The sequence below is a fragment of the Homo sapiens genome, chromosome 1 (genome assembly GCF_000001405.40).
Source record: "Homo sapiens chromosome 1, GRCh38.p14 Primary Assembly".
Taxonomy (NCBI): Eukaryota; Metazoa; Chordata; class Mammalia; order Primates; family Hominidae; genus Homo; species Homo sapiens.
This window is the reverse complement of record NC_000001.11, coordinates 221292493-221313096: the sequence shown is the minus strand read 5'-3', so window position 1 is coordinate 221313096 and position 20604 is coordinate 221292493. Positions and strand designations below refer to the sequence as shown.

The following is a 20604-nucleotide window of genomic DNA, read 5'->3' as shown; positions in this document are numbered from 1 at the left end:
AAACACATAGATGCAAAGAGGGGAACAATAGACACTGAGGCTTCCTTGAAGAGTGGAGTGTAGGAGGAGGAAGAGGTTCAGAAAAAAAATACCTATCAGAGCTTATTACTTGAGTGACCAAATAATTTGTACATTAACCCCCATGACATAAGTTTACCTATATAGCAAAACCTGCATATGTACCCCTGAACCTAAAATAAAAGTTAAGAAAAAAGTTACCCACCACTTTTAATCATTAGGAAAATACAAGTCAAATCCACAAGAAGATAAGGCATGCCTATTAAACATGGCTGCAATTGGAAAGACCAACAGCACCAAAAGTTGGGAAGGCTGTGTAGAAACTGGAACTCCCATCCATAGCTGGTATGGGTGCAGAATGGTACAGAAACTTTAGAAAATAACTTAGCAGTCCCCTCACACAGAGTTAAAAGCATACCTACCCTGTGACTCATCAATTACACCCTTAAATATTTATCTAAAACAAATGAAAACATATATTTATAAAAAGATATATAGAAAGATGTTAATAGCATCTTTATTTACAATAACAAAAAACTGGACATAACCCACCAGAGGAATGGCTAAACAAAATTGTGGTATATAAAGTGAAATCCTACTCAGCAATTAAAAAAGAAAGAACTATCTCAGTAAGTATCAGGCTTTTTGGTCTCAGGTCCACTTTCCACTCTAAAATAATTGAGGACTTTAGAAGAGTTTTTCTTATGTGGCTTATGGCTATCAATATTTACCATATTCAAATTAAAATGGAATTAGAAAATATTCATTTATTCACTTAAAAATAATAATAATCCTATTACACATTAACATCAGTGAAACATTTTGATGGAAATAGCTATATTTGTTAAAACAAAGACATTTAGTGAGAAAAGTGATATTCCCTTACTTTGGGGGAATCTCTTCAATGTTTAGCTTAAAAAGAGGTATTTGGAATCTCATATCTGCTTCTTCAATCTGTTGTGATATCATACTTCATGTAACTTTAGGAAAATAATCCTGTATACTCATGAAAAAGTAAGAATGAATTAATTGGTTAATTATAAAAATACTTTTGAGCTCATGGACACCCTGGAAGGGTCCTGGAGACTCTCAGGTGTTTGCTTTGGGAGTCACTAAGCTATTACTATACACACAACATGGATGACTTTCAAAAACATTTTGAGCAATGGAAACCAGACAAAAAAATACAGTATTATTCCATTTACATAAAGTTTTAGACTAGGCAGAGCTAATTTATGGTGACATAACTCAGAACAGCTTTGGCCTAATGGCAGGTGGGAATAGACTGGAAGAGGAAATGAGAGAACTCTATAGAAATGTTCCATATCTTGACTTGGATGGAGGTTACACCAGTGTGAACACTGATTGATTCTATGTTTGATTAAAACATATGACTGTATGTTGGGTGCGGTGGCTCACGCCTGTAACCCCAGCACTTTGGGAGGTCGAGGTGGGCAGATCACTTGAGGTCAGGAGTTCAAGACAAGACTGGACAACATGGTGAAACCCCTTCTGTACTAAAAATACAAAAATTAGCCAGGCATTGTGGCATATGCCTATAATCCCAGCTACTCTAGAGCCTGAAGCAAGAGAACTGCTTGAACCCAGGAGGCAGAGGTTGCAATGAGCTGAGATCACGCCACTGCACTCCAGCCTGGGTGACAGAGTAAGTGAGACTCTGTCTCAAAAAAAAAAAAATACATCTGTACACTTAAAAGTTGTATATTTCACTGTAAATTTCATCTCAATTTTTAAAAATCAAGATAAAACTAAAATACTGGATAATGATAGAATATAAGTTGAGTGAATATGTGATTGGAGTTAAAATGTTTCTAAAGTCTCCTAGAATGAAAGTAAAGCTATTTAATTAATCTTATCAGCTTTAAAGTTAAGTATGCATGTCAAAATTTCTAATTGTTTAAAGAATAGAAGTAAAGAGTATAACTTTCAAAATAACAGCAGGGGAAGAATGGAACTGGTGGCTGACTAGTGAGAAAGAAGATGGCATATTTGCAGGCTCTCAATCTCCATAGATTCAAAATTAGCAAGATAACAGAGGAAGGGAGAGGAGAGCAGAAATTTAGAAAACAAATTGGACGAAGGAAATACAAAATAATGTGGTAGAAATTACCTAATTGTGGCACAATGACATGGGTTTGGCCCATGTCATTTCTTAACCAGATGTTACATTCATTTGTATGAACTTACACGTTTCACTTAATTTCCCTTGTGAAATAGAGTTTGAACAAATTGGACCTCTAAGTTTTATCCAGTTAACTCAGGGCCCAATCTGGATAAATTCTTACTTAAAAAAGATAAAAATCACCACATAGACAAATATCTATAATTATAATGTATATTAAAACATTTATCCTTATGAAACTCAAATTTCCTTTTCTTTCTTCAAGATGTAAACTCCGAAGTTCCTGGTTTGTCTGGGATTCCTTAGAGTACTAAATATTCGGCTTGAAAATGCTTTCAACTGATAGGAGAGATCCTCACATTAACACTCATTTAAGAACCAGATAAATAAATCCTCCACTTCCTTCAGCTCACTCCGTGTCTGGGTCTGTCAGTACCCCTCCTCCCTGGACCTCTTTCCTAGTTTTTGCCTCATTAACAGATTCATTTGATACTTTCTCTGGGAATTTGCCACCTTTGTTGGGTGACGGGGCAAACAGCTTATGAGTCCTGCCTCCCTCCCAGATGGCACATACTGGATGGTGTTACTGAGCCACTCAGCTCCCTGGAGGACCCTGATAGATGCTTAATTAGCGTGTTAGCGGAAAGACTGCAAGCACTCCCAGATGGTATCAGGAAGTTAAATGAGTGCTCACCTTTCAAGGCAAACCAGGGAAAGAGAAATGGATCCCTAAAGGCAATTCAAAGTGTTTCTTACTTAAAGTGTTTGTTAATAGCTCTATGAATTTTTACTGGATTTTTCTTTTTGGTTACTTCTTTATTACAAAGAAAATGCATGTGCATCAGGGAATCACAATGCAGTACTACATGAAGAGACCAAACATTTAATTTCCTTTTTATTTGTCTTTCTGGGACAACATCGTTCAGTCCTTCATGTGTGTTTTCCTACAGAACAGATTTACAACTGGGGTTGCTGAGAGGTTCCCTAGGGAGCAGTTGTTTCCAGAGAGCACTCCAGGGAACACTGTAAACTACTAGTGAGTCCCTTTGCCTGGGTGGTCAATATCCAGTGGGATTAATTACTATAAATTCTGGTATACCCCATGCAGTTCAAGATTAATACCACCTAATCAGTATCTCATTGATAGAAGAGATAGGCATCCCATTCATTCTGTTAAGAGTCTTAGTGGTGACCCACTAGAGGCAGGTGGCCCAACAAGTCTTTCCTCCCAACAAAAATAAACTCTAAACCCAAAAGACTTAAGTACCAGTGCTTTCAACAACAGCAGGATATCTGTGTTAAGCCAAAGTATGAGTAAAATCTGTAATTTAACAATAGATGGATGCTTGGTCCTATTTTTTTAAGCTTTAACTTCTCTTGAGCAATGTAATATACTTACAAATTATAAAAAGTCAAAGTATATTACAAACTTTAGAATGAAAATGCCTATTTCAGGGACATAGTCAATTTTGTGGCCAGCAAATTAATTTGAAGAAAATATTGATAGCCACAGGAGACAGACAAATTCCTAGCCAGCAAAAACCGACCTTCAAGCCATGGACAGTTTAAAGCCTGAAATCCGAGCTGCCAGTTCTGGATGGAGTCCATGTCGAAAGTGAGAACTTCCATCCCCATCTTACTCACTCTCTCGTGATTGATTTATTCTGAATGATGCCTTTTAACCAATCAAATGGTGCTTTTTGCAAGACCACCCATGGACCAATCAGCATGCATTCCTCCATTCTAAGCCCATAAAAACCCTGGACTCAGTCTCACAGACGCCAACCCACTTTTGGATCCCCTCTTGCTGCTGAGAACTTTCCTTCTCTCACTCAATAAAATCCTCCTCTGCCTTACTCACTCCCAGTATCTGCATACCTTATTCCTCTTGGTCACAGGACAAGAACCCGGAACTCGCTGAGCCACAGGCAGTGGGAGTAAAAGAGCTGTAACTCTCCCTCTTGCTTGCCAAATGATGGGAGAGAAGAAGCCATTGGGTGCCGGCCCTCCCACTTGTTGAACTGTGGGAATGAAAGAGCTGTGATACTCCTGGCTGGCTCACCAGGCTGCCAGGCAGTGGGAACAAAAGAGCCTATAACAAGCCATAACACCCCCTCCCGCTGGCCCAACTACAGAAGCAAAAAAGCTGCTTGGCGCCATGGCCTCCTGCTTGTGAAACTACTGAAGCAAAAAAAGCCACAACAATGTAAGCAACATTGAGGAAGTGGGTACAACATGGCCACCCCTAAAATACCAGTTTGAGGAGTAAGGAGTTAAAAGGTAGAGGGCAGTTACTTCCACACATTTAGCCATGAGGATGGGGCAGTTCACTCTTCAGATTCAGAACCAAAGGGAATTTGTGTATTTTATCTTCTTTCTTGTTTTATGGTAAAGGAGCAGCTTAACAAAAGCCAGAAGACATATTGTCATAGAGAGAAGTGTACCAGCCTGCTAGGCAGAGTGATGGGTAGGGAACAGGAGTGGTTTCCCAGATATGTGCTGAGTGGTGCTGCTCCACTCCACAGTGCACCTCATAGCTAGCTCACTGTGGCTGCCTGGACTCTTGGCTTCACCTCCATGTGGCAAGGATGTTTAGGGGCTAGTGAACTATGCAGGCTAAACTCAGCTTCTGACAGAATTGTACATCAAGGATCACCTGAACTCATTGAAAAGCCTTTGTTTTAATTTTTGCAAGCTAAATGGGGTTTTATTTCTCATTGCATATGATCTCATCCAACAAATGCCATTTCATGTGGCAAGGATAGTCAAAAATTTTTCCAAAACCATTTTCATGTAACTGGACTTTACTGTGAGAAGAAAAGCATCATTCCTTCCCTTGGAAGCTTTTGCCACCCTTCCTTGCTTATTCTACTCTGTCACACATTTCCATATTTTTATAGGCCCACAAAGCACTTAAGGTGAAGTGATAAATAGATCCCTGTCCAAATGCGTTCCTTTCTATTCACATCTTCTTCCATCCATTCACCTCCAAGGGTGTCTTTCTACCAGCTGATTAATTTAGTGTTTTTTAGCACTATGGTGCAATGCAAAGCTGCCTAAACCAATGATGGATTTATCTACCCTCAGACTCATGCTAACAGGCTATTGTTCATTCCTGACCACAGTTATAAAGACAATGAGAAGAAATCTGAACATGACAGCAAGTTTCAAGGCCCACCTATAACAGCTACAGACATCTGCCTGTTTCTGAGTCTGACAGGAGTTATTTCCATCAGACCATAAAAAAGCTATTTGGATAGTCCTTCTTAGGACATGTGGATATTTTTGTGCACTGATTCTGTTATACATAAAATAGAACTGAACAATTGCACTTTAAAGAGATTTTGTAGTTATCTCAAATCTCTAAACCCTATGGTCTCCAAGCAAACATATGGACCAATGCCCAGGAGGAGTGAAAACAAACAGGACCTTCCTGTCCCTTGTTGACTCTCCTAGCTCCAGCCATAGTTTTAGCTTTCCAGATCATATAGTTAATCCCATAGGGTTTCATGTATAGAGTCCTTGTCAGTAGAAAGAATTGCTCTAAGTCACGAAGGTAACAGTATTTACAAGGGGGCATTACCTTTATTTACCTCCAGAGGGTTCAAATTGCCTTTACTTACATTTCTTCATTTGCTTCTCCTAACAGTGCTAGAAGAAGATTATTCTTACTATATCCATTTCATTTATGAGAAAGGAAGACAGAGTGTTTGCATGATCTGATTACATTACGCATCTTCTAAGAGGCACAACTTGGAACTCCAACCTGGAAATTCAAGTCTAATCAGGCATCTTTCAACTGCACCAATTATTCCATTGAGATTTAGTGAGCACTGGGGAGTGCGAGCACCCTACTGGGTGTCCCCAGTAAGACAGCTCTCAAGTTTTTACAACCCAGTGGCTCTCTACCTAAGACCTCAGAGAACGTTTTAGTATAACAACTAGTATATTCCTCTCACCTGGTAATTTTCATCTTTTCCCCATGACCTTGGGATCCTCACATCTCTGTGATTTCCTCAAAATCAAGCACTGTATCTTGTTCAACTTTGTATCTGCAGCACCCAGCCCAGTGCCTGGAACCCAGGAGATAAGGGATGAGTTGAACAAATAAACAACTATACTAATGTAACAGATACAAGCATTAACAGTGCTAAAATAGTGGCATGAACAAAGTATAATGGCAACAGAAAGGGGGAAGTGACTAAGTCATCCCAGGAACTTGGGAAGGCTTCATAAGAAAGGTGACATTTGAGCCAGACCTTGACCAATTAGAAGGATTTCATAAAGTAGAGAGGAGAAGGAAAGACATTCCAGGTGGGGACTGTATGGATATATCAAAATCTTGTTAAATAAGGCGCTGCACGGCCTGACTGAAAAGTAGCACAGGGCAGCTAAAGGATCTGGGCTTAAAGAGGAGGCACAGATTATGACAGTAAATGAAATCAATTAAATGAATTAAATTTAATTAAAGTACTTAAATTACCGAAAATAAACTGTTTGAATTATTTTCATTTAAATTAATTACAATTGATTAATTAATTATTTAAATAAGAGGTCCTATCTCAAACTATAAGCTCCAAAGAATGTTGTTTTAAGCAAGACAGTTATTAAGAGGAAAATCCTCCACTCTTTTTTTACTGATAAAAAATACGTGTACGTATTTACAGGGTACATGTGATATTTTGTTACATGCATAGAAATCCCTACCTTTAAAGTGGGCATGGCTCACCTTGGTGCCTTCTCCCTGGGCTCCACCCTGTCCCTGCCTGGGAGGAGCTGGCCTGGCCCTCCAGGTTGGTGCAGCAAGCCCAGCCACACCTGGCATGCATTCCGGGTGCAGCCTGCAGCCGCACCTCCAGGACAGGCTGGTGTCTGAGCTGCAGTGCCTTTAGGGATCCCCAAGGCCCCCTCAATCAATAATCCCCAGGGTTTTTCATGAGGGTTGGATTATGAGGATTTGGAAGGGGGACGATTAAGCAGTACTTCAAAGAGGTGCTCGGGCCACACCTGCAGCATTTATGAAGATCTATTAATAGAAAGCACACAATTTAGCACTAATCCCTAATTCATAGAAAATCAATGATTTATGCCTTTGGTCCCAAAAGGCACTGAGAACTTTGGTTCATAGGCTGCCTGGAGGCAGGGTGTGCTGGCCCCACATCTGGTCAAGGCTGACCTGGGTCACCCCAGGGTGGTGTGGGACCCTTTAGGCCACACCAGTAAACGGAAAACAATTCTGCAGACCCACAGTCAATCCTTCCAGGACCTAATCTTTTCTTTTTTTTCTTTAATACTCAGACGTCAACCGATCTGGTACAGGACCCAGGTAAATAGATTGAGCCCTGGCAAGAACAGGACTGATGCCAGTTTGCTGGGAACTTGCTGTCATGCCAAGGATCTGTCCCTAGCAAGCTCCTCTCATCTTCCTCTTTCTCACCTGGACCTCCATTTTGACATTTGGAGAATGGTGACAGTCACATTAACAAACATCAGACTACCCTGTGGGTGGCTTGGGAATTCTGGAATCTCTCTGGGTCATATTTGATCCTAAAGGTTTATGTATTTGAATTTCTCATTAAAAGAATCATGGAGCAGATCCATTAATTAATGTCTTAGTGCACCTCAGAGAGCCAAAGGCCAGCTGCCTTTGGGGGATACTTTTGCTGAATACACAAAAAGAGAAAAACATGTTTGAGTCACAGAAGGAAGAATTTAGATTATATGAAACCAAAAAGAAAATTCCACAAATAGCAAAGACAGTTAAATAATCTTTTTTCATTCCTTAAGAAAGAGACATTCAACAGACAGTGAGAACATAGGATGGATATTCTCTTATCAGAGAATTCAAGGCAAGATTGTCCCATATTTATGGTTTTATGAAAACCAGGGTGCAAAAGACCAGATGATGTATTTTCACTGATAACCCATTCTTCCATTTATAAATGAACAACTATGTATAGGCATTTTTATTATTAAAAGGCTTCATATCATTTTTTTCCCAGCTTAAATATAAATATATTGGCTACCTGATACTACTTGTGTCAAATCTTTCAATTATCTTCATGCATATCTTAGCTCAGCCCCTAGGTAACACCTCTGCTTTGTGAACAGGAATCTGATACACAGAACCAAAACTTTAACACATCATAATTTACGGGATGATTAAAATCACTGGAAAGAAATTTGCACCATCCCAGAGTTCACCACAGGGTTCCCTTCCATGGACTGAGGTAAATGTTTATAGAGCACTGAGCTGGAAGGAGGAGGGAATGCAGAAGACTGGGGAGCAGGGGTGGGGGTGCAAGCAGAACCACCTCCCCACCATCCCCAACATGGTGAAGAGCTGCCAGCATTGAGAATAGCATGTCTCAGGATGGAATGCACTTAATGGGAAAGAAGAAATCAGACTCAACCACATTATTTCCCTATACACATCTTTTCTCTATTATAAATATATGTAGATTGTTTTTTAAAAAATGGCAAATATGTAAAAGTATAAAGAAGAAAATAAAACCACTAATTCTACTATCTGGGATTAACCATAGTAAATATTTTGGTGTATTTCTTTCTAGTATTGTTTTTCTATACTTACCCATTCAGAGATAGATGATATGGAGATAAGTACAAAACCCTGTGTTGTTAAGCAAAGCAGGGGTAACACTCTGTGTCATTTTACATTGTGCCTTTTCTCTTGATACTATGTCGTGAAGACTTTCCTATGCTATTGAATATCATTTTAAAATATAGATTTTCATGCCTTTAAAACTGTGGTTTTAACTTATTCAAATATTTCTCCCTTTTTCTGAAGTTTATTATTAATATTTTACTATTTTAAATGTCACAGGCATGAACAACCTTGTTTAGCCTTGAGAGATAGTAAAATGTGGTGTTAAGAACACATGCTCTGGCATCAGACTGCCTGAGTTTGAATCCCAGCTCTACCACTAGCTGTGTGCCTTTGGGCAAATTACTTAACCTCTCTGCACCTCAGTTTTATCACCCACAAAAAGAGAGTTCCCTTAAAATTATTTTTAATGAGCTAATTCACCTTTACAGGTGCTTAGAACCTTCAGAAAAGACATCATATGATGTGTCACATTATGACATCATGTCACATTATGATACATCATAAGAGCTACACAATTATTGATTGTTGCTATTATAGTGAGGCAATCTTACTCAATTTTTTTCTAATTTATCCTGGATTCACCCTAGCAATGCACTCACACTGGTATTGCAGTTAAGAGTACTAGCCATTGCCCAGCCTCCACACCGGGAGCAGCTGTGGATACTGGAATGGTGGTACTCAAGGGGCATGTTTACCTGGACTCCCCTTGCTTCACAATGACTCTGTCATCCTCTCAGTGCTTAGGGGCTTCATCATTGCAAATATCACCCAAGACAGTCAGTTCTTTCTTGCTTCCCTCTCCCCATCCTGCCCTTTACGTCCATGCCCCCACCCCCACACATGCCTCGCCTTCCCCCCACCCCACCCCACTCACCCTGAGACAACTATCAATCCCAGGTGGATTTAGAGGAATGGAGTCAATCCTGGGTCCAAAGACCTGTCTTTGGAGTACTTTTGGCCGTAACATCCAAGGATTTGTTTGTTCCTTTCTTTCTCTGTGTTTCTTTTGTTCTCTGCAAGATTATAATTCATGCTTTAGGCTGCATTCTCTTTGAGGGGCACTATCCTCCTTTTATTGAAGGGATTGCAGGGATAAGAGAAAAAAGGTACTATATTTGCATATATACAGGAAATTAGGAGCACATTCTCTCTGTGTGTCCTCTCTCCCCTCCCCGACTTTTATTCTTAGAGCCACAATTTGGCAAACAGCTCACCTCAGGATTTCTGACATTAATGAGGTAGCAAGGAATGGAGAATTGCCTGCTGAGAGACAAGCTTCAGGAAGATTGTTCAGAGCCTCTTGCTCAGCAGAATTGATAAGATTAAGCCAGTCATAGACCAGTAAACAAACTGCATGGGAAAGACCAGAAATTTTTTTTGTGTGTGATTTTGTTCCAAGAAATGTAACTTTTGTACTCTGTGTGTTGGACACATTGAGTTATATGGAAGAGGACTAGGTCAGAAAGCAAACCAAGGGACTGTGTTTCTGTTTGAAAATCTGCAGCCTGGGGTTGGCTTTTATAATCTTGTAGAATAAAACTCACAGGAAAGGAGGCTCCTGAAATAGTTCTTGCTGAGATCACTCTTTCCCTGTTGCACTCTCTCTTCCTTCACCTTCCATTGTGTTCCCCCACACCCTTCTGTAGGCCTAAGGCTAAATTCTCAGCTGACCCTAATTCAAGCAGGTATTTTTTATAGGGTGATTCTACACTATGGGCACTCATTTCTGTCTGTTGTCCATCATTCTAAATAATGTGCCAAAATGAGCCAGCAAGACTGAACCAGTTTTGTGTTTATTTGCTTACTGATAAGGGAGATCACATTTTCTCACAAAGAGAGAGTGTGTGAATATCTGTGGAGCAGCAGAAGGACCATATACAAGCACCGAGTCTGCCCACAATGTGGTAAGAGGAAGCCACTGTGCCTTGATGTACTCATCTGTAAAATAGAAATCCTACCAGCCTTGCTCACTGCAAAGTATCACTCCTGTAATAAAGGAGATAATGTTTATATAAAGCACTTTATCAACTAGAAAGAGGTATCCAACGGAACATACTGAATGTTCCTGAAGTGTTTTTTTCTGTTTTCTTTTAGTAGTTTTATAGTTTTGGGTCTTATATTTAAGTCTTTAATCCATCTTGAGCTAATTTTTGTATAGGGTGAGAGGTAAGGTTATAGTTTCATTTTTCTGCATGTGGATATCCAATATTCCCAGCACCAGTTTTCTTACCTTGTTGTATGTTCTTGACATCTTTGAAAATCAGTTGGTTGTAGATACCTGAATTTATTTCTGGGTTCTCTATTCTATTCCATTCCATTGATCTGTTTGTTTTTATAGAAATACCATGCTTTTTTGACTATAATAGCCTTATAGCATAATTTTACGACAGGTAGTGTGATGCTGGAGATTATTTCTTAATATATATTTTTTCTCTTCTCAGAACTCTCTCACTTTCTCCTGTTCTATTTGTTTTTCTTGGTGTCTTTCATGATGGTTGTTTTCTTTACTGTTTTGTGATTTGTGTCTGTTCATTATCTGAAATAATTTTTTTAAAATCCAATTCATTTAAACAATACAAGAAAGAGGGAAAAGGGAGTGCAAAGAAGACAATTCAAGTTCAAATACAAAATATAATGCTATGTATAAACCCAAATAAATGAGTAATTATATTAAATGTAAATGGGATAAATACTCCAAATGAAAGCCTAAACTTTTAGACTAGATGAGAAAAAAAGGGCTATGTTTTGTTTACAAACTATACATTTTAAATATAAGGGCAGAAAATAGAAAGACTGAAATTCAAACACTAAGAATTTAGACTTTAGGTAAGAAATATTTGGAACCTCTATAGCATAGACTTTTTTCTGTGGGCAAAATGACAATGACATTACCTAATTCAGTAAATACCATTGCTGGCCAAAAAGAATTAAATTCACAGAAAAGAAATTGATCATTTTTTGCCCCCTCTACCAATCTTAGGTAAATAAAGTTTTTATTGGTTCTAACCAACCCTCATCCCTAGTCCTTTATTTGTATATTGAAGTATTTAGGTGCAAATGTTTACTTGTACTGACTTTTGCGTGAAAGTTGCAGACTTTTCGGTCGGGTGCAGTGGTTTATGCCTGTAATCCCAGCACTTTGGGAGGCTGAGGCGGGTGGATCATGAGGTCAAGAGATCGAGACCATCCTGGTCAACATGGTGAAACCCCTTCTCTACTAAAAATACAAAAATTAGCTGGGTGTGGTGGCACATGCCTGTAGTCCCAGCTACTCAGGAGGCTGAGGCAGGGGAATTGCTTGAACCTGGGAAGGAGAGGTTGCAGTGAATTGAGTTCACGCCACTGCACTCCAGCCTGGCAACAAAGCGAGATTCCAGAAAAAAAAGAAAAAAAGAAAACAAAAAGCCACAAAGAATTTGTGGCTAAGATCTCAAAAGGACAGGCAACAAATACAAAAACAGACAAATGGGACGTATTATACTAAAAATCTTTTGCTCCACAAAGAAAATAATCAACAAAATGAAGAGACCATCTGTTGAAAGGAAGAAAATGTTTGCAAACTATTTATCTGACAAAAACGTATATGCAGATTATATAAAGAAGTCAAGCAATTCAACACTAAAAAAAATCCCATTAAAAAGTAGGCAAAGGACAGGAACAGACATTTCCCAAAAGAAGACATAAAAATGGCCAACGAGTGTATGAAAAAAGGCTCAACAACACTAGTCATCAGGGAAATGCAAATCAAAACCACGATGAAATATCATCTTACCCCGATTATAATGGCTATCATTAAAAAGAAAAAGAATAACAGATGATGGTGAGGATGTGGAGAAAACGGAACCCTTATACACTATTGGTGAGAATGTAAATTAGCATAGCAACTATGGAAAACATTATGAAGATTTCTCAAAAAATGAAAATAAAACTACATATAATCTAGCAATCCTACTAAGGTATTTATGCAAAGGAAAACAAATCATTGTATCAAAAATATACCTGCACTTACATGTTTATTGAAGCACTATTCACAATAGCAAAGATATTAGAATCAACTTAAGGGTCCATCAACAGGTGAACAAATAAAGAAAATGTGGTTACACAGTGGAGTACTATTCAGTAATAAAGTAAAATGAAATGAAGTCATTTGCAGCAACATGGATGGAACTGGAGGTCATTAGGTGAAGCGAAATAAGCCTAGCACAGAAAGATGAATACTGCATGTTCTCCCTTACATGCGGGAGATAAAAAGTTGGTCTCATAAAGGTATAGAGTAGAATGGTAGGTAGCAGAGCCTGGGAAGGGTGGGTAGGTATGTGGGCAGGGGGAATGAAGAGAGGTGGGTTAACAGGTACAAACATACAGTTAGATAAAAAGTATAAGTTGTATTGTTCAACAGCAGTGTAGAGGGACTATAGGTATCGACAATGTATTGCATATTTCAGAGTAGCTGGATGAGAGGACTTGAACTGTTCCCAGTACATAGAAATGAGAAATACTCAAAGTAATGGCTACCCCAAATACCCTGACTTGATCATTATGCATACTATGCATGTAACAAACTATGACATGTACCCTATAAATATTTAAAAGATTATCTCAATTAAATAAAAGAAATCATCTCTAATTGGTTATTCAGAGAGTTCTGAGATGGTAGTGCATCCATTAAACAAGATTAAAATGATTTAAAATATATCCTAGAATTTAAACATGTGGTTACTATAAATTAAGAAATTTTGAAGTTTAGATATGGCATAAAGTCATAGAAAGATTTCATAACAATGTAAATGTGCCACAGAACTATAGACTTACAATGATAAATTACGGTATGTGTCTTTTACAAAAATAAAAAATTAAATAGAAAAGAGAAAAGACACAGGGGAATCAACTCAGGGTGCAGAAATTAGTAAATAAAAAAAGGATGTTTCTTCATTTCTGAAAAAATGGCAAACTAGCATGGATTCCTGCCTGTCCCTCTCCAAATCAACAGGGTGAAAACCACGGAAGTAAAATGGGAGCATGGCTCTCAGGAAACTTAAACAAACACACAAAATAGGAAGCTCTAAAGAAAACTATGGGGAGTAACAAAGCCTATCAATTGGTGTGTGTGGTACACAGGAGTAGGTGGCTACAGCCTTGAATGGAGAGTTGCATATAGTAGCTGTGAGGGTTATTTTCAAAAGGGTTTTCAAGTCCTCCTTTTGCCTAGGAGACTCATTGGATGCCTTGTAGCTTCAAAATCAGCAATGACAGACCTGACCACTTGTCAAGGTACTATCAGGGTAGTATAAAAGCTTTGCTAGGTGATGAGCTGATGAAAACAGATGATGCCTTACTCTCTACCCTTGAGCATTCACCCCTATACCTCTTTCTCATCTGAATCGCTAGCCTTGGTAAAGTATCAAGTCACTGTATGAATGACTAAAAATAAAACAAGGAACAGAGGATTAGTTTGGCGGACTAAGAGGAAACAAATGGAGGTGGTTGGTAATGGGTTCACAGTGCCAAGAGCTCTCCAAACTGGATCTCATCACCTTCCCTCTCTTTTAATTTACAGGGAGAAAGAAACATACCAAGAATTAACCCTCAGTCCTTCTCTGAAGCATCCTACTTGATTGAGCAGGCAACACACTCTGGGGAACAGGCTTTTGGACCGATATATTTATTTACCTAAGGAATGCACTCACTAGGAAATAAAAACAACCAACCAAAGAACAGATAACTCGTGAAACAGAATAAGGATTGACACAGCAATAATGTAAATATGAATGCAATAAAATAATTCAAGAGATAAAGTAAGATCTTAATAATATAAATAAGGGACAAAAGGTCATAACAAAAACCAGGTGGAAATGATAAAGTTTAAAAAAATGTAATCAGTGAAATAAGGAATCCAATAGAAGGAATAAACAACAGAATGGGTAAAGCTTTGGGATTAATAGATATTCAGGTGATCAGATTGAAAAGCTATTTCAGAAGGTAATAAGAATGGAATGAAAAACATAAAAGAAAGGCTAGGCCGGGTGCGGTGGCTCACGCCTGTAATCCCAGTACTTTGAGAGGCCGAGGTGGACGGATCACGAGGTCAGGAGATCGAGACCATCCTGGCTAACGTGGTGAAACCCCGTCTCTACTAAAAATACAAAAATTAGCTGGGTGTGGTGGCAGGTGCCTGTAGTCCCAGCTACTCAACTCAGGAGACTGAGGCAGGAGAATGGCGTGAACCCGGGAGGCAGAGCTTGCAGTGAGCCGAGATCGCGCCACTGCGCTCCAGCCTGGGCGACAGAGTGAGACTCTGTCTCAAAAAAAAAAAAAAAAAAAGAAAGAAAGAAAGAAAAGAAAAGAAAAGAAAATAGAAGAATAGAAGAAAGGCTAAAAGATGTGGAGGATATAAGCAGAAGTATCAGGGTACAGATAATGAGAGTGCCAAAATATAAAAAATAAAGAGGGGAGAAATTCTTATATTTCATTATAATGAAATATAAGAATATAAAAGATAGACTATTCAAAATGTTTCAAAGATTAAGAGAAAATAATTTACACAGGAAAAAGAATGTAATTCATATTACTTGGCACCAACATGGATGCAAGAAATAGATAACTTTTTTAAGGAAAAAACCTAGAATCTTAAATTTTACATTCAGCAATATTGTCATTTAAAAATGAGGATGTAATTAAAAATATTCTCAGGCATATGGGCTTTAGAAAAGTTTTTATATAAATTCTCACTTTCAAAGAAATTACTAAAGAAAATATGCAAATAAAAATAAAAAGATAAATCAGGAGGATGCTGTAAGAGATATGAGAATTAAAGGTCACTAAATGGCTTATCTAAACTACAAAATTGAGAGCCAGAGAGAGGAAGAAAATTCATAACAGTTAAAACTAACATTTTAAACAAATTACTATCATGAGGTGAGCATTGGGGAAGAGTTTTTGCATGGTTGGTAAGACATGCCAAGATATTTACATTGTTAGGTATAGATATAGATATAGATGAACTTAAGAAATCTATAGAGAAAATAAACATGGGAATGGATCTTGAGTTAAGAATACTCATTTTTAAAAAAAGAAAAGAACACAGTATATAACTTTTAAACAAGAAGAATAAAATTTAGTAGATTGAATTGAAAGCAGGAATGTAATTCTTTTAAAAAATTAAAGTGCAATAAATGGAAAATATGAAATTTGATGGCAGAAATAGTCCCAATGATATCAATAACTAAGTAAAAAAAGAGATCCTCATACTGGCTAAAATTAAGCAAATCTAACAATTTATGGCTACAAAAGACATGGTTCAAACAAAAGAATATAAAAATGGTAGAAATAAAAGAATGGAAAAAGATGTACTAGCCACAAATAAGACAAAAATAAAAGTAACAAACTTTATAAACTTTAAAAGAAAATGTAGGGCAAGATATCATAAAGAACAAAGAAGAATGTTATACTCAGTAACAAAACAGTAGAAAAAGATGACACAATTAATATTAACATGTGTAGACCTAAGACATAGTGCCAACATGCGAGCATTAACAACTATCTGAATTGTAACTGGAGATTTTAACACGTCTCCCAGAAATTGACGGCTCCAGAAGACAAAAAATGAGCAGACACGTGGGACACCTACAAGAAACCACCTTGAACTCATATCTACACACACACACACACACACACACACACATATATATTCAAATCACTATATATATACATACTATCTGTATACATAAAACTCAACTCCCAATAAACAGGAATCATATATTTTTATAGCACACATGGGATATTTACAAAAATATATCATGTACTAAAACAAATGAATATTCAATTTTATCCCAAAGAACAAGAATCATACAGACTATATTTTAAGACCATAATACAATAAAATAAACAATAACTTTAAAAACAGCCCATATGCATGGCAAGCATATAACATATTACTAAATAATTCTTGAGATAGGAAGAAAATCACAAGCTGTTTCAGTCAGAATAAACTAGGCTGTGTTGAGATAAAAAGTACCTGCCAAATCTCAGTTGCTTGAAAGAACAAACTTTTGATTTTTATTCATGTTATAACATAGCCATCATGGGCTGACAAGGGTCTCCTCTCTAAGTCATCTTCACCTAGGGAGCCAGGTTGAGGGAGGTTTCATCTTCCGAATTCCTCAATTGCTATGGCAGGGTACAAAGATCATGGTGACTTAAACTCACCATTAATATTTCTGTCCAGAACTGATGTCAATTCCTCTCATACTTCACACAGCCAAAAGAAATCACATGTCTATATCTAACTTCAAAAGATGTGAAGAAATGCAATTCTACCATGAACTCAGAAAGGAGACAGCCAGATATATTTGATGAAAAGCAGTAATAATTACCACATTATAGAAATTATGCTTAGAACAGAAATGTACACTTAGAATTTGTAACACTTAGAACTAATCAACATTGAGGACACTATAATATGGCAAAAGCTGTACAGCTTGTTTTATGAAGAAAGTCCTTGTTTCAACACTGAATGAAGGAAATCAGAAAGAATACCATAAGCCAATTTCACTCTGAACACAGATATAAAAATCTTAAAGTATTAAATAACCAAACCCAGTGGTATTTTTGGTTTTTATTTTTTATTTTTTTTAATTTTATGTATGCATAATAATTGTACATATTTATGGTGTACATGTGATATTTTGATACAAGTATATAATGTGTAATGATCACACCAGCATAATGAGATTATCCCTCACCTCAAACATTTATCATTTCTTTCTGTGTGTTTGTGTGTGTGTGTGTGTATATATATATATCCACACACACATATTTTATTTTATTTTTTTGTCAGAGTCTGGCTGTCACCCAGGCTGAACAGTGGCACAATCTTGGCTCACTGCAACTTCTGCCTCCCAGGTGCAAGTGATTCTCCTGCCTCAGCCTCCCGAGTAGCTGGGATTACAGGCACGTGCCACCACACTGAGCTAATTTTCTTATATTTTTAGTAGAGTCGGGGTTTAACCATGTTGGCCAGGCTGGTCTCAAATACCTGACCTCAAGTGATCCGCCTGCCTCAGCATCCCAAAGTGCTGGGATTGCAGGTGTGAGTCACTGTGCCTGGCCCCTTCGTGTATATATTTTTAAATTACTTTAGTATTAAGTAGAATTTATCTCATGCAGGCAAGGATAGGTCAGTGACAAAAAGTCAATCAACACAATTTACCATATTAAGAGATTAGGAAGAAAATTCATATGGTCAGGTCAATTGGTTCAGAAAAAGTATTAAACAAACTTTAATGCAAATTTATGATTAAAAAATTGACAAGTTAGGAACAGAAATAAAATTTCTTATATTTGTAAAAGTTATATAATAGAAATTTAGTAAAAATGTTATTTTATATAGAAACTTTAGACACATTTGATCAGGGACAAGAATAGAATGACAAATATTGCTACTATTATCAGACATTTGTTATTAGCTAAATATCTAATGTTACCACTGGAAAATTCTGTAATAAAATAAAAAAGAAATAAAAAGTATTGAGATTGGAAGGGAAGAGATGGAACAGTCATAAGTTGCAGTCATTATTTGCAGAAGGGTTAACTTCATGGCTGGGCCACCTTTGCAGTGACACAGGGCCCTGAGCTCAGAAGGGCTTCATGCTTGGTTTGATGCTCTGTTGTAGCCATTCTGGATTTCTTCATAATTTTATTTTCTAATTTTTGTTTTGCAAATGAAGTCTGATGGGATAATTGAGCATGTGCATCATGAGTAGAAGAGAAACATGCAATAAGTTGTCTGCTATTCCTTGCCTTGCCATTTACATATAGAGGTCACAATGCCTCATGAGTGCAGTATGTGGTAGGCCCATGATGCAACTAAGTTGAGCAATACTCAAAGCAAGTGTAAAGGTAAGCGTATTATGTCTATGACTAAGTAGGGTCCTGACAGCCTGGAAAGAACATGCTATTTTGGTTCAAACCAGAACTTTCTTCTAATGCAGAAAGACGGCAGTGACATTCTAAGAAAAATGAATGACCAAGAAGACCTACCATATTCTTTCTCACTCATGTTTCTTCTCTGTATTAGCCAACCACTTATGCTGATTATTATGATATAGAAGAAAAGGGAAAGATAGGATAACCCAAAATTCCTTTCCTTTCAGTCTTTCCTTACTCATCAGTAAACAGAAGGTAGAGTATTGGTAGGATGCTCAGCACAAATCAAAAAGAGAAACACAAACAGTGGATGTTTTCTTGTGGACCATTTCCACTGTTCTGGTAAATACAGGCATTATTACCCTGAATTGTATAACTCTGAATTCAAGTTAAATACTCTTTTATTTGCATTTAAAACTGGCATTGCGCAGTACTAAAGATAAATAGTAAAATTTATACAAATAAATTAACATTTTAATTTTACTTTCTTAGAAGAACATTTAATAGCAAATATGAAATATCATGACACATTAAGAGAGAGCCTATTGAACTTTTTATTTTAGTACCTTTAACAGCTCTTATCTATTTCCTGCTTTCTGAACAAGGATCCCTGAATTTGCATTTTACCCTAGCCCTGCAAGTTATATAGCTGGTCTTACTTGTAGATGATATAACCATCTCCACAGGAGAAAAATACAAAATTAATAGCCAAATTCTTAGAAGTAATCAAATAATTTGGGATAGAAAATCTGTCTTTTAAAATAGATATGTTTCCAAATTATAATCAATTAAAAATATATCTTAGAAAATACAAGAATCTACAAAAACTAATAAAATTCAAGATATAACTTAACCAAAAGTGTACAAAGCCTCTACAAAAACTAATGAAATTCAAGATATAACTTAACCAAAAGTGCACAAAGCCTCTAGAGAAAATTTGAATACTCTAATAAAGGCTTTAAAAAAATCTCTTTAAATAGATGGTCCAAGTTCTTGGGTGAACAGACAGATATTACAAAGGTACCAATTCTTCCCCTAATTAATCTACTAATTTAACACAATTCTCATCACAATCTCTGCTGAAGTTTTCTAAAGGTCCTTAATACATTTATTCTAAAATTTTATGTGATTAGCAAAGGCAACTTAGAAGAGAAAAAGGGGAGAAATAGCCAAAGTATAAAACACACAGGTGCTTGCACCTACATATGAAGTAGCATCGTTTGTCTGGGGTAAATACCCAATATTCGTTGTCTCACAGCCACAGAAAACTAGGACCCAGACACACCAGAGTGAGGTTAAGAGCGGAAGTTTAACAGGGGAAAAGAAGAGCTCTCTGCACAGAGAGGGGTCCTGGAGAAAACGGATTGCTGCTTCTGTGTTGAAACACAGGAGGCTTTCTAGATGAGCTTGAGGAGGCGGTGTCTGATTTTCACAGGGCATGAAAGATTGGTGGGACCAGGTGTGTCATTTGCATAGCGTGTGAAGAACTGGTTAAGACTAGGTTTGTCATTTGCATAGCGTGTGAAGAAACTGGCTGCCCCATCCTAATCTTTTATTATGCAGATAGGTTCTTTACCTGGCCGATGCCATGTTGCCTGCTTTTTTTACTGTACGCGTGGTGACAAAGAAAAGGGAAGATGAAGCCTCCAAGTTGAACATGCCTGGCCCTCAGGTAGCCCTTTTTTATTGGCACGGCTGCCAGCATTCACCTGTGCAAACTTCCAGGTGCTTATCTATGTCTGCAGCTCAATTTTTCAGGCCACTCTTCGTTTGAAAAAACATGATTTGGGGACTGCTTTTTATTAAAATGGAAGCCTTGCCAAGGACTCCTTTATCCTCGCTATCTGCCTAAAAATTTCTTTCTAGCCCTTGTAACACACATACACACACA

The 20604-nt window shown here is 37.5% G+C and overlaps 1 long non-coding RNA gene across 1 annotated transcript in view, besides 1 other annotated feature; it reads right to left on the bottom strand.

Moving 5' to 3' along the window:
* Nucleotides 1-9093, bottom strand: part of LOC105372932 (uncharacterized) — a 166214-nt gene extending 157121 nt beyond the window's left edge. The window contains exons 1-2 of the long non-coding RNA XR_922621.2: nt 8754-9093; nt 6121-6234 (exon numbers count right to left, since the gene is read on the bottom strand). This is a non-coding gene — a long non-coding RNA (uncharacterized LOC105372932). The remainder of the gene's footprint in view (nt 1-6120; nt 6235-8753) is intronic.
* Nucleotides 19862-20362: an enhancer, noted in NCBI's record as "OCT4-NANOG-H3K27ac hESC enhancer chr1:221466077-221466577 (GRCh37/hg19 assembly coordinates)". NCBI's record gives its function as "activates a minimal SCP1, AML or CMV promoter by ChIP-STARR-seq in primed H9 embryonic stem cells {active_cell/tissue: H9 hESC(primed)}" and the evidence as "EXISTENCE:reporter gene assay evidence [ECO:0000049][PMID:30033119]".